Source organism: Homo sapiens, chromosome 18, assembly GCF_000001405.40.
Source record: "Homo sapiens chromosome 18, GRCh38.p14 Primary Assembly".
Lineage (NCBI taxonomy): Eukaryota > Metazoa > Chordata > Mammalia > Primates > Hominidae > Homo > Homo sapiens.
In genome coordinates this window covers 6,622,839-6,649,044 of record NC_000018.10, presented here as the reverse complement: position 1 = coordinate 6,649,044, position 26,206 = coordinate 6,622,839, and the positions used below count along the sequence as shown (strand labels likewise).

Here is a 26,206-nt window from a genome sequence, read left to right as displayed (position 1 = left end):
CTGAATTCAAACTCCAAATGTGTTTACCAGTTTGTAATCTTGGGTAAATTACTTAAAAGTTATCTGAACCTGTTTTCTCATCTGTAATATGGGAATAATAATATCAACCTAGTTGTCTTAAAGTAAAATTTAAATGAAAGTGCATTATAGCTATCTCTCTGGACAGCCAAAACTCTAGAAATATAAACTCTTGCTACTGTACAATTATTTAACAGGTCACATTTCTGAGTCATCTTACAGGCTAATGATGACTCTGGAAGATGAGCTGTAACTGTGGAGCTCATGGAACTACATTGGGCAAGACTGTATCCTTTTCCTATTATGCATAACTGAAGTTGTTGTGAAAACAAATATTGCATCCATCTATTTCATGCCATGAAGTTTACTTTAAAATCGTGGTAAGTTCCTCATTTTTATACTTGAAACTAAGACTATCAACTCAATAACATATATATCAACACAAAATAATGTTTAAATTCACGTTACCTTTCTTAACAGCTCTAACACTTAAAAATAGTTTTGAAAGGTTTAAATGAAAATACCAGGTACAAAAGTGTATGTTTGCCTTAGCATCTTTTTGAAGGGATTTCTTCTGTGTGTGTCTGTGTGTGAACATGTGAATGCACATAGTTTTGCTGATTAGATCTAAGACATGTCTGAGAATAATTAGGCCTCCAAGAATGTGGAAGAGGATTACCTGTTTCTCCTTAGTTTCATGTGACTAAACCCAATGAAGAAGATAATATCCCTGAAAACACTTTGATGCAGAATTTAGGCTATGAAGGAGGAGGGGGACACGCAAAGCCGAGAGAGACAGAGGTTTGTTAACAGAAGTGGTTGGTATCCGTCGGGTGTTCTGGTCTTTTACCCTGTGATGGCTAAGTAAAATAGACATCTAATGGAATTCAACTGTCACCTTTGGCATTTGCAAGCCCTTCATTAGGGAATCTTTATCCATTCTTCTTCTTCTTTCCTGACCCCCATAACTGGCTGTAAATATCAGCACCCATATACACACAAAGACAAAAATTCTTAGATTAATATCAATCTGAGATTACAAAGCCATTTATTTTTATAAAACAGCATTGGGATTGACGTGGTTTGGCTGTGTCCTCACCCAAATCTCATTTTAAATAGCAGTTCCCATAATCCCCATGTGTCGTGGGAAGGACCAGGTGGAGATAATTGAATTGTGGGGGTGGTTTCCCCCATGCTATTCTCATGATAGTGAATGAGTGCTCATGAGATCTGATGGTTTTATAAGGGGCTTTCCCCTACTTCATTCAGCACTTCCCCTTGCTGCTGCCATGTGCAGAAGGACGTGTTTGCTTCCCCTTCTGCCATGATTGTAAGTTTTCTGAGGCCTCCCCAGCCATGCTGAACTGTGAGTCAATTAAACCTCTTTCCTTTATAAATTACCCAGTCTCGGGTATGTTTTTATTAGCAGTGTGAGAATGGACTAATATAGAGATTCATCCAGAAAACAAAAATGAATTATCTACAAGAACCTACGGTTTTAAACAAATGTCAAAACCCCCTCTTCTATGAGAAGAATGAGGAAAAACTTTAACATATAAAAATATAACTTTTTGGGCCAAATCAGGAAAACTTCAAAAACATGGTAAACCTGTTGGTTTGCAGCACATCTCCAGGAAGCATCCTTCAGACCCATTGGCTCCAGTTTGAGGGGATAGTACAGAAAAGAACAACAACAAAAGAAACTCCCTGAAAAAACTGGCTTATTAAACAACTCACTGAATACTAAGGATAAGGCTTAGTGATCTGTGACTCTACCAGGCACAGACCACCTAGCTTGCATCAGCAAATGCCTTTGATTAGCCTGGCCAGCAGAAATAACCTACTGAGCCTTGAGTAGACGTGGCAGACAGAAATCTAAACATCACCCAAAGCAGTGAAGTCCCAGGCATTAATCTTCAACAAATATTTATTGAAATCTGGCAGTCCAGACATGCTTATTCCAGGAGAAGCTGACAAGTAAAAGAGGGAGAAAGAGAGACAGGCATGCGACCAAGCACAGTTTATTTTCACAAGCTGCATGCTAGCGAACAAAGACCTAGGAGAGCACATCAAAAAAGGCAATATGTTCTGGCTGGGGGCTTGGAGCAGTCTGGAAGAACTCACAGAAGTGATGACATTCAAAGAAGGCCTGAGGAAGTAAAGAAATTCACCGGGCAGAGAAAGAAGGGAAGGACATTTTACATCAGAGTGGGAACAGCACGAGCATATCATGGCAGCGAAGAGCATATGGCACTTTTATGATAGAACGTAAGATGCAGAGGTGGGAAGGTGGCAGAGGACATTCAAAAGTGACGTTGCAGTCATATTCTGAGGGATCTGACAGATGAGCTGTTAAGAAATATGGACTCTGTTCTATCAGTATTATGAAATCATTGAATCATTCATTCATTGAAATGGTATTTTCGGAGGACTTACTATGTGCTAAGTACTGTGTCAGCCTCTGAAGATTAAAATAAAAAGGAAGGCCCTCCAGGGACTCACAGTCTGGTAGGGAGAAAGGCAGGCAAACAGTCACAGTACGGTAAGTTACATGCGAAGACAAAGGGGGTTGTACTGCGGAATTGGGGAGATGAGATTTAGTCTGCCTAAAAAATTCGGGAAGAATCACATAGACTACTATGTACACAGGTTTTTGTGAGTGCTGGGAACTGTTGTACTGCACATGTGCGTATATTCATTTAATTGAACAACCACGCATGAGGTAGGTTCTCTCGTATTCTCATCCTGGTCTTATGTAGGTTGAGACAGAAAAGAGAGTTTCAGTGAGTTGTGTGTTCACATGGCTTGTGGGCAGTAGAAGCAGGATTTTAAGCTGGCAGCCTGGTTTCAAGCCTGGACATTTAAAGACTGCACCCTATTGTCTCTTCAGGAAAAGATTAATTTGATATGAGATTTAGGGTGAGAAAGTTGCCGGCCTTTTGCCTTCGTTCTTTTCTCCTGTCCCTTCCTCTACCTGTCTCCTTCTTTCTCCCTTCTCTCTTTCTTGCTTTCTAAATCCCAAACTACATTCCTCCAAATCCCAGGATTCTCAGAGGTAGGGGCGTGTGTGTGTGTGTGTGTGTGTGTGTGTGTGTGTGTGTGTGTGTATTTAAGTAGACGAGCGAGGCAGTTGGTCGGGGAGGTTCAGAGTCCAGGGAAGTCTCTTCAGCTCTTTGATCCTCACTTCCCAGTTTATGAAGTCAGGGTGGAAAGTGGATCAGAGGAGATGGCCTCCGAGGATCCCTAAGACATTTTGTGCTTGGAACACAAGCTCAACAATGAAATAAAGCTGCTTCCAAAGTAATAATGAGGGAATGCTAATACCTTTCAAGGAAGGAAAGTGTATTATCATCTGCTGAATGTGAAAGAGACTTGGAAACAATAGCCGGTAATCTGCAGGGCCTCCTAGAGATAAATTCTACAGTTTAAAATGAAGGCACCCCTCAAACACGGTGAAATACATGAAATTGAAATGGCACCACACACCTCTCTCAGCACCTATCCTACAGCCTACTCTTTCTTCCAGCTAGCAATCAGCTCATTCCCGTGGATGTGCTAAGTGATGACAGCAGGGAGATTTACTGGTGATGAGGAACTCTTAAACATCAAAAAAACCTCTAAGATCAGAGGGAATAACGGGTTAGTAGAGTGAATCCAGGCATGGTGATGGGCATGAGACAGATACTTGAGAGAGAGGAGTTTGCATAGCACCATTAAATTTATATCCCGTGGAGGGCTCCTAATATGTCTACGTGTACTGCAAGCCCTCCACAGCCACTGTGAATCCTCTGCGTGATGAGGTGGGGCATAACAAAACAAATTCTTTAATTAACCTATTAATATAGTTTGAATATTTTTCCCCACCCGAATCTCATGTTGAATTGTAATCCCCAGTGTCGGAGGTGGGGCCTGGAGGGAGGTGTTTGGATCATGGGGACAGATCCCTCAGGAACAGCTTGGGCCATCGCCTTGGTGATAAATGAGCTCTCTTTCTGAGCTCTCAGGAGATCTGACCATTTAAAAGTGTGTGGCCCTTTCCCTCCCCCAACTCGTTCTCTCTCTCTTGCTCCTGCTTTTGCCATGTGAAGTGCCTGCTCCCCCTGTCCCTTTCACCATGAGTAAAAGTTTCTGGAGTTCCCCCAGAAGCAGATGCTGCTATGCTTCCTGTACAGCCTACAGAACTGTGAGCCAATTAGATTTCTTTTCTAGTAAATTACCCAGTCTCAGGTGTTTCTTTATAGCAGTGCAAGAATGACCTAAGGCACCTATACATTCACATGCTCAGAAAAACTTCAGGATTTCCTGGGAAGACAAACTTGTATTTCAAAAATAAACTTTGGAGCTTGAAAATAAAAGCAGTTTGCTCCTTTCCTGCATTTGGAGGTGAGCCTACATCAGCCCGTGGCCATGAAAACAGGCTCCTGGGAGTTGGTTGGTTTCACAGGATACTGATGGTGGAGAATGACTCCCAGGCCACCAGCACAGGTGCAGGAAGCACAGGCAGTTCATGTTGGAGGGGGGTGTTCATGGCAAAACCTACCAGGGGATTACAAAGTAATACAACCTCATTTATAAAGAAAAGATAAATACAGTGATCTTCAGGCATTTGCTTCAGTGCAGTAAAATAGAAACTCAGTAGCCTTGTTGGCCATAAGGTGAACACAGAAAAGTCCCTTCATCTCTACTAATGTTTTGTTGCCCTAGACATGATGGTTTGCTGGGGAGGAATTTTGTACTAAAAAGCCCCCTTCTTGTTTCTTTTTCAAATCCGGGAAAGGAAAAATTACACATAAGGAGATTGGGTTTCAAAAATTCACAGGTTTAAGTATCAGTTAGCTTTTGCTGAATAACAAACAGCCCCAGAAATTTGTGGCTTAACAAAACAACCATTTACTTAGCTCATGATTCTGTAGGTCAGTAATTTCAGCTCATCCAGGTGACCCTTTGGGTCTTGACTGGGCTCCCTCATGTGTCTAAGGTCAGCTGCCAGATGGGCAGCTCAGCCACTGGGGGCTTCTGGCTGTCAGCAGGGCCAGCAGAAAAACTGCAGGATAGCCTGGGCATGCATATAAGGAGGGGGAGAATTGTGCCTATTTTTGCAACTAACACTGATACTATTGTGTGCCTCTATAATAAGACACAAAAATATTGAGGGTGGAAAAGAAGACAGAAATCTTGACATTACAGCTATTTCTTTATTACTGTTCTTACTGACAGAATCAGTTTCACAAGAAGCTTATTTTCTTTTCACCAGCCTAAATCACCTTAGCATATAAGATGATATAAAATAATATATATTATTATCTATTATGTGTATATAGGAAGAAATATATTAAATATATAGTTGGATTTATATATTATAGAAATATATAATGGATTTCTATATTATAGAAATATATATTTATATGTTTACTATATTTCTGCTTTAATATGTATTTAAAATCTTTCTTCTCAATTATAAATATAATAATTATTATATATTATATATTATAATTCTTATTATAAATATATTAAGAAATAAATTTCTTAATATATAAATAAATATATTAGATGAAATAAATGTATATATTATGTTAATGTAAATATATATCTATATATTATTTAAATCTATTATATATAGTGTGTAGTATTACATTAAAATATACTTTTAGCTTGTTTTCCTTTCTTCCTATGACTTCACCTTACCATTGTCTTTCTAGTCACTTCCATCTAATGTCAAGATTGGGCTATCATTGGAGAGAAAAGAGGGATCAAATTAAAGATTAACATGTATAATTCCTGCTAGCAATGGAATTGTTCATTTAATGCTTAGAAAACATAAACAATTTGTTCAAAGTTGTTTAAATGGGGAAAGAGTACTAAACCCCAACATCTTGATTGTTAGTTTAATGCTCTATTCTTTATACCATGCTGATTGCCTGAGCTGATTTTTATGAAATCAACTTAATGATGTAGTTATTTTATTTTTCAGGGGGCCAGAGTGTTCATGAACGCAGTCTCAGGTCTGAAGGAGAGCTCTGTGCTAGAATAAAACAAAATCACCCAGTAGATCAGAATCTACTCACGAATGCTCCACGTGGCTAATGCTGCTTGCTGGTTTCCGTTGCTCTCGTCAGCTTTGGACCCTCCCCCTGTACTGTTGGCGAGAGTTCTTGGGGGGTTTCGGGGACATTGTAGCTGGCAGTAGTGTTCATGCCTCTACTTTACTGGCAGTAACAATTAGAATTGGTCCAGGCTGTACAAAAGAGAAATCCACAAATACCAATTGCATGAGCATCATTTTCTCATGAAACTTTTCTCGCATCACAGAAGATGAGTTAGGCAGACAGGGCTGGGAAGGGAGGCTCGTAGGTTCATTAGCAACCCAGATTTTGTCTATCTGCAACTTTAGCTTGTCATTTCTATCCTCAAGGGCATCATAAGCTTTTAAAGCTCCAGCCATTCTACCTGCCATCCAAGCAGTGAGAAGAGGAGAGAGAGAGGAAGACAAATAGGAGAAGAGCTTTCTATACAGCATTCCTGGATGTCTCGTCCAACATTTGTTGGATGTTATTGGATGTTCCATCATACTTGTGGGCCAGGACTTAGTTAAATGGCTACACCTTGCTACAAGGAAGTCTGGGAAATACAGTCTTTCAGCTGGATACATCCCCCTGGCCTGAATAAAAGCTGGGTTCTCTTACAAAGCACAAAAAGGGGATTGAATATTGGTTAGGCACCTGTCAATCTTTCATATCAGCCCACGTGAGATAGCCAGGGTTTGGTGAAATAAAATGCTGTTTCTCCTCAAAACACTTCTCTCTTCCTGATTGGGGAGGGACCCTGTTCTCTGCAGAGAAATTCTTTCTCATGACAGGGCCAACATGTCTGCCAAAAGACAGCAATAGGACTTCCCAATCATTCTATATATTTAAGGGAGACTTTTTAAAAACTACAATACGGTTGAACTCATGTGATTTTTTTTTTTGCCATGAAGTTTCTTGTTAAGCATTGAACATTTAAAAGTAAATTTTGACTAATGTGAAATAAAAGAATGTTACTTGAAGCAACAAAAAATGCTAAGTATCATTAGTCATTAGGAAATGCAAACTTTAATGAGATACCATTATATACCTACTGAACTGGCTACAATGAAAAATACTGACTCTGGTATTTTAAAAGATTGTTTATTAACAGTTGTCCAGGGGAGCAATTGGAACCCATGTCATTGCTGGTGGAGAGACGAAATTGTACAGCCATTTTGGAAACCTGACTGGTGGTTTTAAAAGATTAAACTCATTCTTACCATATAACTCCAAAATTCTGCTTCTAGGCATTTAGTTCTTTCCACACAAAGTCTTGAACACCAGTGTCCATAGCAGCCTCAAACTAGAAGAACAGGTGTGTCAGCAGGTGAATGTGCATCAACAGGTGAACAGATAAACAAATTGTATGACAGCCACACAAAGGAATATTACTCAGCACTAAAGAGGGTTGAACTTCTGCCATATGCAATGAAAGTGGTGAATCTCAAAAATGTTAAATTATACTAAGCAAAAGAAGCTAGACACAAGAGTACACACTGTATTCTTCCACTTACAGAGCATTCTGGAAAAGGAAGAATTATTGCAAGAGAGAGCAGATCATTTGTTACAGTAGGCCAAGGGTTGAGGAGACTGATGACAGTGTAATAAGAATGTTCAAATCTTAATTGTGGTGGTAATTATATGAGTATATTATTCGTCAAAATTCATTGAATCGGGTGTAATTTATTGTTTGTAAGTTATACATGAATCAAGCTGATTTTCAAAAGTGGCATCAGGATACTCCGTAAAAGAAGTTACCCACTTGCCCCCAAATAGTCTGTCATTAGCAAGCCTCTTGGTGTCCACTCCAGAACCACATGACCCCTATTAGCTCAGGGATCCTGGACTGCAGAGAAGAACTCCACTTTCCCCAGGAGCTCGGAGCAGTGCAGGTAGTGCCCCAAGGTGCTAAGTGTGTGTCATGGACCGAATTGTGTCCCTTATATTGTGTCCCCATATATTGAAGCCCTAAACCGCAGTACCCCAGAATGTGACTATATTTGGTGATAGGGCATCTTAACAGGTGATTAAGCTGAAATGACACCATTAGATTGTGTCCTAATCCGAGCTGACTTATGCCCCTATAGAAAAAAATATTAAGACACAAGAGACACCAGCAAAATGCACAAAGCAGGAAGATGACTTAAGGTCACAGGGAGAAGGCAGCCATCTACAAGCCACAGAGAGGTCTCAAAAGAAATCTACCCTGCTCACCCTTTGATCTTGGACTTCTAGCCTCCAAAACTGTGAGAGAACAAACTGATGTTGTTTAAGCTACCCAGTCTGTGGTATTTTACTATGGCAACCCTTGGAAACTACTACAGTGTATATTTGAGAGTGGTTAATGAGACAAATCCTTCAGCTGATGTAATGGGAAATTAGCCAGGGGCTGCCTGAAAATTAATTTCTGAGTAGACACCACCCAAAGGACTGTGTGCATGATCATAGCTGTTTCTTTAAACTCTATCTAGCAAGAGTCATGAATGACAAGACTGTCAAATGTTGGGCATAGAAGTGACTACTGGACGCAAGGTATGCAAATGGGCTAAACTCTGGGGCCAGGATGACTCCTGAAGTTTAATGACAGCATCATGTGAACTGCTTACTCCCAGGTCCTAGACATCGTGTCCAAGTGGGGGTTGTACCAGTTTTAGAAAAACTCTAAAGAAATGAGCTATCTGCTTTATACCACTGCGTCTGTCTTTGCATATATTCTTAGGAGATTAGTAAAATCTCTATGACTATTGAAGTGCAGGTGAGCTTGTGGTATAGGTTAAAAGCAACAATTATAGTAACATGGAGATGGGAATGGAAATGATCTTAACTGTGTGGTGTTGACTCATTAAATCAGCTTTTCCCCAGGCCCCACACTTGACTAGGTCCTAGAAGGTCAAATGCATTTGGGAAATGCTACATATTCTAATGTCCTCTTGCAGATTCACAGAGGATATTTGCACATTAAAGAAATTAAAGAGTGCTGTATTTTAAAACTCAAAGACAGTATTTCCCAAACCCTCATGATCAGAACCCCCTTTTTCTCCCCTACCTTTTGTTTCTCACATAGGACATTTTACAATTCCATGAAATGTACCTTAGGAAATACTACATTAAATGAAAAGTTGATTAAATCGCTACAGATGTACTTTCCAAAGGTCACTGCTATATTGGTGTCACATGCATGAAGTGATAACATGCTGATAGGTTTTATGTATGCATTTTACCTTAATTCAGTAATTTTATTTCTATGAAGGTAAGATATGGATGCACATTCAAATACAAAAATTAGTTTCTACATGTAAGGTTAATTTTACAGAGTATAAATTTCTAATTTGCATTCATAATTTGTCCATTTGCAGATGCAAAATTTGGTACCAAAATGATCATGTAGGAAAGCAGTCCGATGCTGGCAAAATAAACTACTCTGGGTATAATTAGCCACCTGGCATTCAATAAGTGCAGTTGACTAACTGGCTGGCTTACAAGTGGAGGCTGGAACTATTTCACTCTGTTTCCTCCCTGATACCATTTGCGGAGAAAATTTTTTAGGCTTAATTTTAAGGGCAAAAATAGGAATACGAGGAAAACATATGAAATCTCCCAAAAGTAGTTGCTTGGTCATCCAGGCTAGAGTGCAGTGGTGGTAACACGGCTTATTGCAGCCTTGACCTCCTGGGCTCAGGTGATTCTCCTGCCTTAGCCCCCCAAGTAGCTGGGACTACAGGCAAGTGCACCATGCCTGGCTCATTTTTGTATTTTATTGTAGAGACGGGGTTTTGCCATGTTGCTCAGGCTGGTTTCAAAATCCTGAGCTCAAGCGATCCTCCTTCCTTGGCCTTCCAAAGTGCTGGGATTACAGGCGTCAATCACCTTGCCCTAAAATAATTTAATGACTGGCAGAAACTTGTTTTGGCCTAAGCCATTTAAAAAACTTTCAAAAGTACAAACAACGTATTTGCTATAGCATATTTATTCCATAATTTTGGTTTTCCTTGTCAGAAGAATATATAGTTTCTCCATATTTATCTGAAAGGGATAGATATTTAACCTTGTTGAGGGGCACTTAAATGTAGTTCCATGATTTATTTTTGTGTTTATGTCTTTAATTTTAAGATCAGTTCATTACGATCATTGATTGATTCCTGCCAGTGGCTTTGGAAAGCACATGCCTATTAAGTCAATAAAGGAACAATGCTAGGATGACCTGAATATAAATATTTAATTAGTTCAAGTATAATCTTGGTGCGGCTTGCTTTCTTAGATCTGGATATGTCTGTGTTTACATAACCATGTAAAAGTGGCCAAAATATGCTTTTCGAAGTTATAGGCAGCTGGTTATGTTCCCTAGTGGCACTCAGAATTCCCAGCTGTTCTGGTACTAAGCCAAGTGTAACCCTGAATTTGATTAGAAACATTAATATTAGAAAAACTGACTACGTGATTATGTCCAACACTAGGCATTACCACAGACCTCGGACAACTCCAATGAGAAAGAAAAAGTCAATTGAATGAGAAAAGAGTAAAAAGAATCAGAGTTAGGAAGCTCTTAATAGTCCACAGTTTTACCGAGTAGACATTAAGTCTTATACCCCTTATCCATTATGTGCAGAAATAACATTACTTCTATCCAGTGTATGTGAGGATGTATAAAAATTTACTTAGATTTTGCATGAAGTCATAACAGACATAAAACACATACCAAAAATTTAGACATTTCTTCCATATCATTTAGGATAGCTGAGAAGTCCGTATCATTTTCAATGCTACCAATGGATGACTGGAAGAAAGGAAAGAATTGGCAGTTTGGACTTCACGCTAGGGGTAAGAGGATTTTCAAAGGGGTTCATTAATTTTAAAAAATGCTTACAATATTGCCTCCACTGAAATGTGTTTATAATTACTCAATCACTATTTTGTGGTTGCAGTGATTTTGAAATATGTAATATGCTTTACACTGGTGCCCTACTGCATGTAGACTCTACTCCAGCTGCTCATTGGAATGGCCAAGCAGGGCTGAGAGTCATGGCTCATACCTGTAATTCCAACACTTTGGGAGGCGGAGTCAGTCAGATCACTTCAACTCAGAAGTTCAAGACCAGCCTGGGTAACGTGGCAAAAGCCCAACTCTACCAAAAATTACAAAAAATTAGCCTGGTGTGCTAATGCATGCCTGTGGTGCCAGCTACCTGGGAGGCTGAGGCAGGAGAATTGCCTAATCCTGGGAGGCAGAGGTTGCAGTGAGCGAAGGTGGTGCCACTGCACTCTAGCCTGGGTGACAAAATGAGACCTAGTGTCAAAAAAAAAAAAAAGGGAAAAAGAAAAAGAATGTCTCAGGGGCCTTTGAAAGGACACCCAGGTACTCCACTACCTCTGCCAGAATAATTAAACCCTCACAGAGGGTAAGCACCAGGCAGGCCTCTGCATTTTCCAAAGATCTGTCTACCCTGCCCTGTGATTCTGTGACCAGAGGGAATGTAGGACTGCTGGACTATAATTCTCAACATTAAAGAATTATCCCATGCAGCCTCATGAATGCTAACCAATAATATTTATGTCTATTTGAGACACTCTTCATTAGAACAAGCTAATACACATTTTAAAAAGTAAATGATGTGCTTGAGTGGATCACAAGGGAAAATCCTAAAATACCCCCAGTAATTGCCCTCATCAGTTTGCCCTAGATTAATTTTCAAAAAATTGAAATGCATATGTTAATGTGATATAAGTCTATGTAAATTATATAACCACATACTTAGCATCTTGAGGTTCTTTGCTAAGTTTCTCTTAAGCTATAGCTGTGAAGCTAAAAATTCTAAAACTGGCTGCAGAGGGAGGATGGTTTCCAATTAGGGTGTTTTCTCTTAACTAAATCATTAAGAGCTCAGTTGATTTTAACAGCCTGTGGGTAAGAAAAGAGAAAAATGGTAATGTCCTCATTAGGGAATAATATGTTCATGCAGGAAAAGAATTAAGAATTCACAAAGATGAAAGAAAGAGAAATGGAAATGGTTTCTAAAGTATGATAGCTCTTTAGTGGAATTCTGTTCCATGCCATCACTTAAAGAGATGAAGAAGTTTTGGCTTCTTCATATATTTGATATTAATCCAAAGTGGTTCATTCTAATTCAGAATGTATCAACTCATTTAGATCTATAGAGATTCAAGGAAAAAACATGTATTGGAAGTAAAATATATTCTCTACAATGTATTCTTTTTTTGTACTAAATAACTGTCCAAATATATTCATAGAGTGAGTTTACTTAGCTTTGACTTTGAGTCACTTAAAAGGGTACACAGTTATTCCAAATATTGCTTATTAAGCTTTAGGCTTTTCTCTAGTTTTTGGCTTCCTTTTTGGATCATATTTGCCCCAGCTACTTTGGGAGATTACGAAGCCTCACACAACCAACTGCAGATTTAACTATTTTAGAATATTATTTATCAGCTGAAAATAATTTTAGGCCAAAAATTCTTGAAACCAGAAATCTCTTTGAATGTGCCAGATTAATTTCAAGGATGAGCTATTCATTGACAGTGTTCTATAAAGGATTGTGGGTTAATTAAATAACTCATCTGATAGAAATCCTGGAATTCAGAGGACACAGTTAATCCAACTTCAAAGAATATGAAAAAATAACATAAACAAGAGGAAATGGAAAATAAATGAACATAAAATGATGCCATAGTTTCCTCCTATAAACTGGTCATGGTTCTTTTCAAATGTCACTTGGTGTCTTTTTCATATTTAGGATGAAAAGATAAGACAAAAGCAGAAAACCCACTCAAGTAGTTAAGTTTCAATGATATTTAAAAGCAGAAGACTACAACAGAATGCTGATGTGGCAGAGTTTAGAAAAGACATGTGCCTCGAGACAGATGTCCAGTTAACAAAAGTTGCCCTTTGTTGTTTTGGTTTTTTGATTCTGTTTCATCCCGAAGGCTCAGGAAAGAAGACAAGAATATTTATGAAAGGAAACAGATCCTACCCAATGATCTCTCAACAACCTTTATTACATTAAGATATCCTTGATGAAAGAGCCAAGTTGACAACTCCGAGACATTTAGGAAAAAATGTGATCAGATTTGAGACTTACCGCAAGAGGCTTCCCATGCAAGATGTAGAGTGAGCCCCAGGTCTCTCTGAAAATTACCAAAAAGATATTTTGAAAAGTATACAACCGTACATGTGCCGTTAGTAGCCCAGAAACATTAAGGAATACCTAGAAGATAGAAGTGGATGGATAAATTTAATGCAAAAAGAAGAGGAAACTGTAGCTAAAGTTTCTGTAGTTAAAGAAATAACACTACCAAGAAGAAGCAAATCTTTGAGGAAAACTGAGAACAAGTAATAGAAAGACCAAGGTGAAAAATCCTCATTACTAATTTCAGAGAAAATAGAATTTGTTCCATAAACAGAATAGAACCTTAAAAATGGTCACAGTGTCTCAGAGAGACTCTGATCTAGAGGATATCACAGTAAAACATGTGAGAACAGGTTATTTGCTTATTTGTTAATTCACCAATTTGACAAATGTGTATTAGTGTCTATCACGTGCCAGGCACCATTCTAGATGTCAGGGATAAGGGAGTAACCAAAACAGAAAAAAATTTCTGCCTTCTTTAAAATTAAACAAGGGCATGATATCCACCAATTAATCAATAAGATGTGGTATATCATCAGTACATAAAATATTATGGAGAAAAATAAAGCAGAGAATGGAGTAAGAGAGTGAACAGTAGGGTTGGAATCTTAAATAGAAGGGCCACAAAAGACGTCGCTGAGATCTGAATGAATTGGGGAAGCAAGTCACACACATATCTGGAGGAAGAGTATTCCAAGTCTAAAGGAGAAGTGCAAACGCCCTGGGGTGAGTGTGGTTGAAATAGAGTGAGGGAGAAGGTGATGTGTCGAAGACATGATAAAAGAAATAGTGGGGGTCCCTATCAAATAAGACTTAGTAGGCCACGGCAAAGACTTCAAATTTTATTCTGAATGAGATGGGAAGCCACTGGAGTATTTTAGGCAGAGGAATGCAGTGACGTTACTTACATTAAAAAAAAAAATCACTCTGAACTTCTTCTAGGTGGAGAACAGACGCTGGGGACAGGGAGGGCAAGGGATACGAGGAGTTAGGTTATTTTCATAGTCAGTTGAAGGCCGGGCGTGGTGGCTCGTGCCTGTAATCTCAGCACTTTGGGAGGCTGAGGCGGGTGGATCACAAGGTCAGGAGTTCAAGATCATCCTGGCCAACAGGGCGAAAGCCCATCACTACTAAAAATAAAAAATTAGCCGGGCGTGGTGGCACGCACCTGTAATCCCAGGTACTCAGGAGGCTGAGGCAGGAGAATCGCTTGAACTCAGGAGGTGGAGGCTGCAGTGAGCCAAGATTGCGCCCCTGCACTCCAGCCTGAGTGACAGAGCGAGACTCTGTATCAGAAAATAAACAGATAAAAATTAAAACAGCCCAGTTGAGGGGTGATGTGACTTAGATCTGGACATTATAGATAAATAAACTTGGTGAGAAGTAATTGAATTCTGGCTAGGTGGAAGTTTGAATAAAGTGTGCTTGGAACTAAAAATATATGATTTCCTGAAACATACATATATAGGTTCGTTTATACATACATCAGTGGATGGGCTGAATTTAAAAACTAGACAATTCATCACACTACTCAGAATGGAAAAAAAAACCGGAGATAAAATTATTAATCTAGAAGGCAAAGTTAAGGAAACATCCCGTTATAGTACCCAAAGACAAAAAGATTAAAATTTAAAAAAACTTTAAAAGCCATAAAGGATAGATGCAGGGGATTAAAAATATATCCAATAGGAATTTTCAGCAAGGAAGAACAGGGAAAAGAGGAGAAGAAATAAGGAAGTAACAGAAAGAAAACTCTTGGAGATTAAAAAACAGAACAGGAATCTTCCAACTGGAATTTCAAACACTAAGCCAGGCTAAGGAAAACAACAAAAAGCTTCTTGGACAGAGAACTCTAGAGAGAAAGCAAGGTCTCTTATAAAGGAATGAGAACAGACTAGCATCAAACTTCTAACTGGAAACCCTAGGTATTATACATTAAAAAAAATTCAAAGTTCTGAGGGAAAAAAATATTTTGATTCTAGAATATCTTCATTCAGTCAAAATAATCAAATGTGAAGGCAAAACAAAACACTTTCAGACATGAAAATTATCATCTTGGGCACATGGATGAAAATATCGCTCTACAGTGCTTGTTAGGAACAATGAAAGGTCTGAGAGTTTACCCTGCTTGCAGCTCAGTTAGTCTACCAATTTCAGAGATGCTGGCAGAAGAAATGAGACTCCCAGTCAGAGACAAACAACTTCATTATTCACCGCACAGCAGGCAGCATGAGCTTCCTGTTTGCATTGGTACCTTTGTGCCTCCATAGGGGAGACGCAGGGCTGCCCGGGCTGGTGCTGTGTTTACAGTGGGTCTGCATTCACAGCCAAGGATCCCTGAGTTTAGGAAACCCCCAATCTTAAGAAGTCTGCCAGTAAACCCAGCCAACTTTTCCTATGGAGGAAGAAGCTATCTTTATTATCCTGGTCAGGAATCAAACTTGCTCTCTGCCTCAGAGGAAGACACTAATCTTGCTGTACAAATGTCCTTGAAAAGAGAGTCTTGGATAACACATGGAGAATTGCCTCCCACCCCTGCAACAATATTCTAGCGAGATAAAGGAAGAATCCAAGAAAGAGGACAATACAGGATACACTTATGTAAAAATTAGTTACAGTTGAATATGACCAGGAGAAATGTATAACATTAGAAAGAAAATAAAATGGAATTGCTGTGAGATGGTTGGAAGACACTCCCTTGACCAGCAGAGTTTAAGTTGCATAGCATTACGTTTACATTTCATTCTATCTGGCTTATGGATGGAACCACATTCTAATTCTATGATGAATAAAGTTTGCATGACTTTTTAATGTGATAAATAATATTTATTTGGTTTGCTTATTCATTTTTTTTTAAAGATTCAACCTTCAGACCAAATCTGGAAGTTCTAATTACAAAACACAATTGCAGCATTACAAACTTAAACTTCCACAGCCAGATGTGACAAAATAAAAAGGATAAAACTTAACTTCCCACCACAAAAAACTAGACAAAAAGGTATGAAAAAATTGTTTCAGACACTGACCAGCAGGCAGCCCAGGACTATGATCTCTAAAAAAGGGGAAAAAAAAAGGAAGCCCTATGATAGTCCCATATTTCTGCAAGCAATTTCCCAAATAAGGCGTAGGTAGGGGAATTCCAAACAGGGCCCAGTGGCCTCAGTGGGTTGAGGAGACAGAGATCAGGGTTAGGAGAGGTTGAGGTAGTCAGAGTTTGAAGGGCAGAGACACAGAAAAGAACAGAGTGATACCGAAGTGAAATTACAGAAATCTGTGCAGTTATGCTGCAGAGTCTTTGCTGACTACTGGGCCATGCCTGCATAGAGGACCTCTCTACAAAGTAGTGCAAAAAATGACTAGGTGAGCTGAACATTTCCAAGATCTCACAGCAGAGAGAAGTTCTAGATCAGAAAGACCAGAATGGAGAGTACTCAGTGATCCCTTAGGACACTTAGTAAAGACCTCAGATGGGTCACTTGTTGGCAGTAACAGAAAGGCTGCACTATTCCTGGAGTAAAACATACTGCATGCTTCTGCTACCAAAAGCTTAAAAAACAGTCCCTGAAGGATCAACTGCCATGTGTGGAAGTTAACTGCATGCCAAAACACAGTTCAGCTCTCTTAAAAGGAAAACAATACAATTTAGAGACTTAATAAAAATGTGCAACCTCTAGACTTACTAGATACACCAAGAAGCAGGAAAATGCAACACATTACCAGAAGAAAAATCAGAAAATAGAAACAGACCCAGAGATTATTGCATTGATAGAGTTACCATACAAGGACATTAAAATAGATTTTATAACTATGTACAAGTATTTAAAAGAAATACGTTCACATTGAACAGAGAAATGAGAGACATAAAGTAGAAGAGAATGGACCTTCTGGAGATGAACACTACAATATCTGAAACAACAAGATAGCTGGATAACATTAATAGCAGATTAGACACTGAAGAAGAAAAGAACGATGAACTTGAAGGAATAGTGATAGAATCTATCCAGAATGTGGCCCATAGAGTGGGGAAAATTCTGAAAAAAAAATGAGAAGAGCCTCAATGACCTGTGAGACAATATTCAATAGTCTAACCATGTATACCTGGTGTTCCAAAAATAGAAAAGAAGAGGAAGCAGAAAAAAATTTGAGGAAACAACGACCAGAAAATTTCCAGATTTGTTGAAAACTTTAAACTCATAGATCCAATCTGTCTTGAATAGATTAAATACAGTGTCCTTTCTCTCTCTCTGTTTCTCTCTCTGCCTATAACACACATACACCCCGAGTCATTTCATAATCAAATGACTGAAAATCAGTGGTAAAGAAAAAAAAATCTTAAAAGCAGAGATAGTTATATCAGCATTAAAAGGAGACATGGAATAATTTCTTAGAACCTTGAAATAGAAAAGGCCTTTCTAAACATGACATGAAATTCAGAAACCATTAAAAAAAGTTGAAAAATTTGAAAATACTCAGTTCTGTGAAAATGATACCATGTTTGCAAATGGTTTCATTTTTCTCCTGGGTGTGAAGAAGACTATATTTCCCACCTCTCTGACAATTTAGGCCAGTGGAATATGGACTGCATTGACATACACCATTTCTAGGACTGGCCCATAAAAGTCTCCCATGCACGATCACAGTCCTCTCCTCTTTCTCCTTTTACAATAAACTTGGAGGTTTCCTGTTGATAATGGCAGTGTCACAGATGGAAAGAGCCTGGCTTTTAAATGACTACAAGTTTCAGAGTCCCTATCAGTGCCCCCCTCCCCTCCTAGCAAACAGTATTGACTATAATGAGAGTAAGCAATAAATTTTATTGTACTAAGCTAAATGAACTATTCAGATCGTATGTTAACAGCAGCTAGCATTTTTTTTTTGCTTTTTCCCGAGACAGAGTCTTGCTCTGTTGCCCAGGCTGGAGTGCAGTGGTGCGATCTCAGCTCACTGCAACCTCTGCCTCCCAGGTTCAATCAATTCTCTTGCCTCAGCCTCCCAAGTAGCTGGGATTACAGGTGGAAGCCACCATGCCTGGCTTTTTTTTTTTTTTTTTTTTTTGTATTTTTAGTAGAGATGGGGTTTCACTGTGTTGGCCAGGCTGGTCTTGAACTCCTGACCTTGTGATCTGCCCGCCTTGGCCTCCCAAAGTGCTGGGATTACAGGCGTGAGCCACCGCACCTGGCCAATAGCAGCTAGCATTTCTTACCCTGACAAACATGCATAATATTTTTAAACTTCTACATGGCAAAAGGAAGATACAAATTGTAAAAATGTGCAATATATATCTCAAAGAGCTGAAAAATCAGTAAGAAAAAAACCAACAACACAATAGAAAAAGAGGCAAAAGTTATGAGCAAAAAGTTTGCAGGAAAAAATGCAAATAGCATTTAGACACACCAGAAGATTCTCAACCTCACTCATCATGAAATAAATTCAAATTAAAATTGTATCGTGGCTTGTATTTTTTAAAGACTCATTTTAAAGCTCATTTTTAACTGAAACAAATACATTTAAAATAATAATTTATAAATTTCAAAAATAAATAAAAATGTCCCTCCAAAATATAAATATGTACTTAGACATATGTTATTACTCTAATATAAAGTCATATCAGGTGAAGTTAACATTGTAAAGTGTTATTTAAGACATTAAATAACATTAAAATTAGAAGCATGTAATTAATCTTGAAAGCATTTTAATGCAAATATATTATTGAATCTTTTAATGTACGATCTTAAGAAAGAAAGTGAATCACAGCACCACTGTTGAGTCATTGAGTGGTATATTGAGCAAATGTGTTCAGCTGCTGAAAAAGCTCTTTCTAACCTCATACCAATCTTGGGATGGTGAGCAAACAGCATTCCAGATATCTTCTATGAACACCATCATCTTCAAACACCTCTATCTTGTTAATATACAGGAGACATTTTTCAACAACTTTTTTTTTTGGTAGCAGAGACTGCTATATTTTCATGAGTAGGAAACTGCAGTCCATCTCTGATTCATCTTTGATTTATTTAATTCCATCAACTAGGGGTGGAATTTCCAATATATTATCAGCCGCAGCATTTTCAACATTGCCTCATTGGTGATTCAATTCTTTGGAAGTCTCTGAACTAGAGTGAGGCTTACGCTTGCAATAGAAGCTTTGTAACGTCGTATCAGACAATTTTCTGGGGCTCATGAGGCCTCAGTCCTATCTCAACTTGCACAGCATATACTCTTTTTTTGAGGGGGGATATAAATTCATATAATTATGTGATTCTGAATTTAGAATGATTCACAAAAATAATGGTTTTTTTGTCATCCCATACCATATTTTACTACTTTAAAAGCACAATATGCTGGAAAATGGGATTAGAAAAACCTAGCATTATAACTTCTTTCATTTTCATATTCTGTAAATTGGCAGTAATAACTCATAGCTTTTGTGGGAGGATTACAGAGAGGATGAAAATAAAATATCTGGTGCACAGAAGGTACTCAATTCATCTTAGTTTGGTTTGTTTTTCTGTTTTTTAAATAAAGATACCAGTACTTCTATAGGACAAATTTGAGGTGGTACAAAAGAAAGGTGGAATTTTAGTCATGCTGGATGTGTACTTCGATCAGCAGTGTTCCCTGCTGAAAACAACACTGTTTTAACAGGGTCTTGTCAGCTCTGTTGAGACTTTCTTCAGTGATGTGTAATATCAATAGAATTGCCCCAGCTGGGCTCAGTGGCTCATCCCTGTAGTCCCAGCTACTTGGGAAGCTAAGGTGGGAGGATCACTTGAGCCCAGGAGTTCGAGTCCAGCCTGAACAACATAGTGAGACCCCATTTCTAAAAAAATAAAAAATAAAGTAAAAGTGTCCCAATAGCAAAGAAAAGGGAGGCAGTTTAAGTCAGAATTCAGTGGTGTTAAAGCTAGGAGTCAAGTTCTCATCATGGTTTTGTATAATTAGAGTGATTTTGGTTGCAGGGATCATCTTACTAAAATGGTATTAATCATGACACTTGCCAAATCTCATTCTCTCTCTGTCTCTGTCTCTCTTTGCCTCTCTGTCTCTCTCTCCCTCTGTCTTCCTCTCTCTCTCTCTCTCTCTCTCACACACACACACACACACACACACATGCTCTAGTGTAAAGACAATTGGTAAATTCATGGAAAGATTTTAAGAAAAGTTAACGTATGAGCATAGTTCTTAATATCATATTTATCAGGAATTATTTCCAAAGATTAAAGAAAAGACAATTTACCATCAACTCGGCCTGATTCAGGACAGACTTTTCAAGCATTTGGAATCAAATTTGAATTTAAGACCAAGGTAGTTTCAAAAACTTGGCTGTCTTGAGTTATCATAGCTACAAGCATGTTCTCACACTGAGACCCTCAACCCCCATCTTACAGTCTATCACAGCTCAAGTAAACAGCACTCCCCACGGCTCACCATATAACTCCCACAGTGTGCTGGTTAGGAAAGAACACCCAAGGCCTGGCAGAATGACAGCAAACACTTCTCCTGTTTTCCCCAACACTCCAGGGATGAATAGCTGCTCTCAAGGTCAGATCTCATTAATAATTACATATTTTAAAAAATTTAAGCAGTTTTTTTCTGCATGACCTTTAATAAAATGGCACATAAGTGATAAAAGCAGGGCATCCTAATAACTCAGAGAGCCACAGGAAACAGCCCAGAACCTGCAAAGGACCCAGCTCATCATGGTCAGTTGACATAATGTTCTGAGTAGAGGAATGTCTTGTTTCAAACAGTCAAACAGTGGCAGATGGAGTTCAGAATAGATGCTATGAAAAATACCCCTAGTCGCAGAGGAGTCCTAAGGAAATTTCAGATCACTTGCCCTGCCACATCTCCATCTATTTTTGTCCGGCTGCACTTGTGGTAACTATGCCACTGGAAACCCCCCGTGTCCTCAGCTATATCTGCCATGCTCCTCTGCTGGCAGCTGGAAGCTTCTGGAAGGAATGTGCCGAGGTCCATTGGAATATCTGCTGACATTATGTTTCTTGTTACTGGAGTCCCAACTCTCAAATCAATGAGTCAGGGTGAAAAATCTTAGGGCAACATACTTCTAAATTGTCATATGAGTATTTGACCTCAAATGCTTCACAAGGGAATCTGTAGGAATTGGAGGGGTTACTAGCTGATATATTCCCACAGAAATGAGTACTTGAATGTTTTGACAAGAGGGGATCTGTAAATGCCTTCTACTTTATTGCAAATTTGTTTTCCCTTTTTTTCTTTTGTTTTTATTTCTTTTTTGTTTGTTTTTTGGCTGGTTGAAGACTGCTTGTCTCTTTTCTGGGGACTCAGGGTACGATCATAATGGGTATGATTTTTATTTTTTAAATATAAAATTATAATATCGAATTTGCTTTACATTGAATATCTTTTTTCTTTTCTACCATTGGATACATCAATGTATAATTTTATATAATTTTCATATACATTTCAGACAATGTAGCTCAAGAGATATGTGGGAGATGATACTGATGTTTTTACATTTGTCCAAAGAAAGATTGAATGAGAAACTTTGATGTGGTCCATATCCTCATTTTATTGGCGGCTCAAAGCGCATGTTACTTGAGAGGTAGAGGCGCCCATGGTAAAGAACAATGACCCAGGGAGAAGCTATCTGGAGTTTGACACCGTGACGATGGTACCTGCCTCCGAGTTGTTTGAGAGTGGCAACTGAGAAAGCATTTGGGAAAACACACGGTTTTTTGCTGGGGTCTAATAGCCGTGAAAACTCAATATACGTGCTTCCATTTACTATTCAACACCACACAAGGAAATATAGGTGAGTGAGAATTGAAACCCGTATCTACACAGAAGACCTGGGAGATGACCTGAATGTTTGCAGAGTCTGAAACATAAACTAGAAATGTTCTCTTGAAGACAACTCAAGTTCTTGTGTTTTGTCACCCTTGGCTTTTTACTCTGTAAACAGAAAAATACTCAGTTATTTGAACTTTCTTGTTACTGAGACTCTAGATAATTAAAGTTTCATATATCCGTCTGGAAAGATAGACATCAGGTACCTTGTTACATGGTGCTTTTCTTGATGGCTATGTGTTTAGTAACATCAAAAGCATGTTTACTAAGCAGGGAAAGGAGAGGCTGGATTGATGTTGGAGTCAGACATCGCTCTCCAATCTCCTCAGAAGGGTGCGGTGGTTTAAGTGTGGCTCAGAGAGTCACTGGAATTTGGAAACTCCCGAATTAAAGTAATAAGCATGTTGGGATTCAAATTTAGGCCGAAGAGAGAGGTTTGTCTGAGAAAACTCAACACCCTATGATATCTACAATTCTGCTCTTTGATATCATTTCATTTTGCAGTTTCATAAGGAGTCTGTGAAAATTCAGTCTCAAGTCAAATAAAAAGATTTTAAAAACAAGACTATATCTTGAAACTGTTTGCAAGTGTTACCAGAACTGGTGGTTCTGAATACTGGAGTTGAATTTCTCGCAGAGTTTCTATTGTTAATTTCCACTGTTAGTTTTACAATTTTGTTCTAGAGGCCTGTTCTGGCCCAAACCTGACCAACAGGTTCCCAATTATGTGTAAATTGAAAACGTGAAGGAGAAACAGCCGGCCATGATTTAGTACACATTTTCATGCTAAAACCAAACCAAACCAAACCAAAACAATGCTAGAGATTGCAGAAACAGAGTGTCTGTCTAGGAACACTGGGATACTTGTGTTTAAATGCAGGCAAGCAGACATGTCACACATGATTCCCATCCACCATCTCCATCCAGAGAGCCCGTGGTGAAGATCATCCCATAAATCAGAGATGGAGGATTTCGAGGCTGATGAGTTTCTCAGAGCCCTTTTGCTGATTTAGATATGGGTTCTGTCTCTCTCCAGTTAAACACTTTCTATTCTCCATTTCAGGATTTGGGGAGATTAGGATTTGGGTGTCTTACCAGGTTCAATACTGTGTACATGCTACTGCTGCTGCTGGTCACTCTACATTTAAGCCTTCTCATAATTCCTTTGATTAGAATTCAGACAGCTTTTTGTGGCCATAAAAAAGAACTGAAGTCATATCCTCTGCAGAAACATGGATGGAGTTGGAGAACATCAGCCTAAGTGCACTAACTCAGTCAGAAACAGAAAACCAAATACCACGTGTTCTCACTGGAAAGTGGGAGCTAAATAACCGGTACACATGGACATAAAGATGGAAATAACAGACACTGGGACTCCAAAGGGAGGAAGTTGGGTGGGAGGGCGAAGGCTGATAAATTACCTCTTGGATACAATATTCATTATTTGAGTAACAGATATTATAACAAGCCTAATCCCCACCAATGCAATACACTCATGTGACAGACATGCACATATGCCCCCTGAATCTAAAAAAAATAATTTTTTTAATATCTAAAAAATATTCATATAGCTTTTGATTTAAAATAAACAAATATTTTCTGATCAAATTACTTTTCTTCATTTTTATTTGTTTGCTGTCTCCTGCTTTGTTGAGCCCAAAAGAAATGAGTTTGCACTGTTTATTTTTTATTACAGCCTCTGCCCCATTTATGCAAACTGGCCCTCCTCGGCCTGTTCTTTTTTTCTAATTTTTCTCTAAGAAAAATGAAGCACATCGTGCCAAGAAAAATATTTCCTTTACTGAACATCTTCCAAGAATCTGAGTTTTTGCTTCTAGTTTCTAAATTATACTTCAGAATCTCAGGAAGCCTCCACATTCTATCTCAACCTTCCATTTGGAAACCTTAGTGCCTTTATCTTTGCTGGAGCAGCAGTTTCCAAATGTCAAGTACAGTTTATTTCATTTTAAGTAAAGGATTTCAACTTAATATCTTTTTTCAAATCTTTATATCTCTTGGCCAAAACTATAGCTCTCCCTTTAATGATTCTTAGATGTGAGTAAGCCTTTTCCCAGGCTTATCATGTAATTACTGACCCCAAAGAACTCTTCCCTGCTCTGCCTTCCCCCACCTCTTTATTCGTCAGAGCTGAAATATCATAGTGGCTAGAATTCCATTCGGTTGATAACATTTGCTCCTAGTGGGTGTTTACCACATGATGATCAAATATTATTGCCAATAGAACTCGATGACTTTGAAAAGGTTTGCAAATCTAGCTGCAGTATTTGAAATTCAAAAAGAGACACATTCATGGATCCTTTTAGAAGGACATAACCTTCTCCTTCTCCAGCACGTTTTCTGTGTGTTTGGCTAGCATGGCAAGAGCTCCCACAGAAAAGGGAGAGATGAAGGAGAGAAGATGGAAAACCCTAAAAAAAAAAAAAAAAAAGACAGAGGCCTAATGGGCAAATATCCAAGAAATGAGGCAACTGTTGGAAAAAGGCAGTCGAACTTTGAGGATTAATCATTCCTTGTCCTCATTTACATATTGCTCATTCTTTGCTTTGAGCCCCTAGCAGGCTAATGTAGACGAAATGAGATACCTTCCTCAGCACTTCTGTCCTGGTGACATTCCTATGATCTTCTCGTGGAGCAGGGACACTGCTCCTCCCCTGTGTTGTCACTGTGGGCACAGCCACTTCAGGACCTACGCCTTTATACCTGATGCTATTGCAGATGGCACATCTAAAGAATGTTGCTTTAAATTTACCCCCTTCAAAATAAGTCTCCACTGGCCGGGCACGGTGGCTCACACCCGTAATCCCAGCACTTTGGGAGGCCGAGGCGGATGGATCACCTGAGGTCAGGAGTTCGAGAGCAGCCTGACTAACGTGGAGAAACCCCATCTCTACTAAAAATACAAAAAAATTAGCTGGGCTTGGTGGCACATGCTTGTAGTCCCAGCTACTCGGGAGGCTGAGGCAGGAGAATCGTTTTGAACCTGGGAGGTGGAGGTTGTGGTGAGCTGAGATCATGCCATTGCACTCCAGCCTGGGCAACAATAGCGAAACTGTCTCAAATAATAATAATAATAATAATAATAATAATAATAATAATAATGTCTCCACTTTCCAATGGATTGTTAGAACATAGATGGAAGGATAGGATCCTCTGTGCTTAACATTCCTGAGGCTGAGCTGTCTGCCTATTGTCCTGTTTTGGTTTCTGTAGTGTGTGCTTCTCAAATTTGGTTACATGACCTCTGGGATATGAAGCAGTCCACAGGATAAATGGCATCAATTTTCCTCAAAAATGTGGGAGGGTGGGGGAGAAATTAAAGCAATATAACTTGTAACTTAAAATGTTTCTGTAATAAAAAGCACAATGGTTATATATTCAGGTGGAATGCAGAATTCCCACTTTCTGTAATAGAACACAGGCTGCAAGGATGATAATAATGTTCAGGAGGTTTGCTTAGAGATGCTTTTCTGATGACTTCGGCAAAAATATTTCAGTGACACTGACTTAAATCAGCATGGCTAAATGCACGTCTTTAGTTATACTTATTTATTAATGGGTGGCAGGTTAAATAACTCTTTTAAAAAAAAGTTGTGATCACAAAGGAGGGAAAAGAGTTTGATGCTGGAGGAGCTGATGTTTCTAGAGGCTGATGGGTGATAGAGATCCACTGAGAACTGTGGGGAGAGAAGAGTTGTTCAAAGAATAGAACCTTGAGAGTAATTTTCATTAAAAGAAAAAATCTACGCCCTCAAATCCCAGGAGCTGTTCCAGTGAAATGAGATCTTACTCCTTTTCATGTACAGTTTCTGGTGGTCTCTGCTCTGCTGTATTTTTATCATTATTTTACTTAATTGGATGTGTTAAAACATTTTCTAATACTTTTTGGCTAAATGTACAATTGCAAATGGTTTACTGAGTTCCTTTGTGATCTCAGGGCCAATTTATTTTCTCTTCATGGAACACAGTGTTGAAATTAAATGTCAATTGAAAGTACGATCCAATTTACAAAGATTTATACTAGATTTCCGCAGAAATTTTATTTGCATTAAGCAAGGTGGCCAAGAGGTGCCTGGGCTTTCCTCTGTGGCTGCTCCCGCCCTCCCACACGGAGGTGCAGGGCTGCACAGG

The 26,206-nt window shown here is 38.8% G+C and overlaps 1 long non-coding RNA gene across 5 annotated transcripts in view; it reads left to right on the top strand.

Annotated features, from left to right (window-relative positions):
* The first annotated feature begins 1,881 nt into the window (after positions 1-1,881).
* The window catches only part of LOC107985176 (uncharacterized), a 78,185-nt gene continuing 53,860 nt past the window's right edge, over positions 1,882-26,206 (top strand). For 2 of the 5 annotated variants that reach the window (XR_001753338.2, XR_001753340.2), the window contains exons 1-2: positions 1,882-2,560; positions 10,813-10,901. This is a non-coding gene — a long non-coding RNA (uncharacterized LOC107985176). Of the gene's footprint in view, positions 2,561-5,989; positions 7,068-10,812; positions 10,902-21,677; positions 23,397-26,206 lie in introns of those variants that run through there. The other 3 variants (XR_001753339.2, XR_001753336.2, XR_001753337.2) reach the window with 3 other exon arrangements.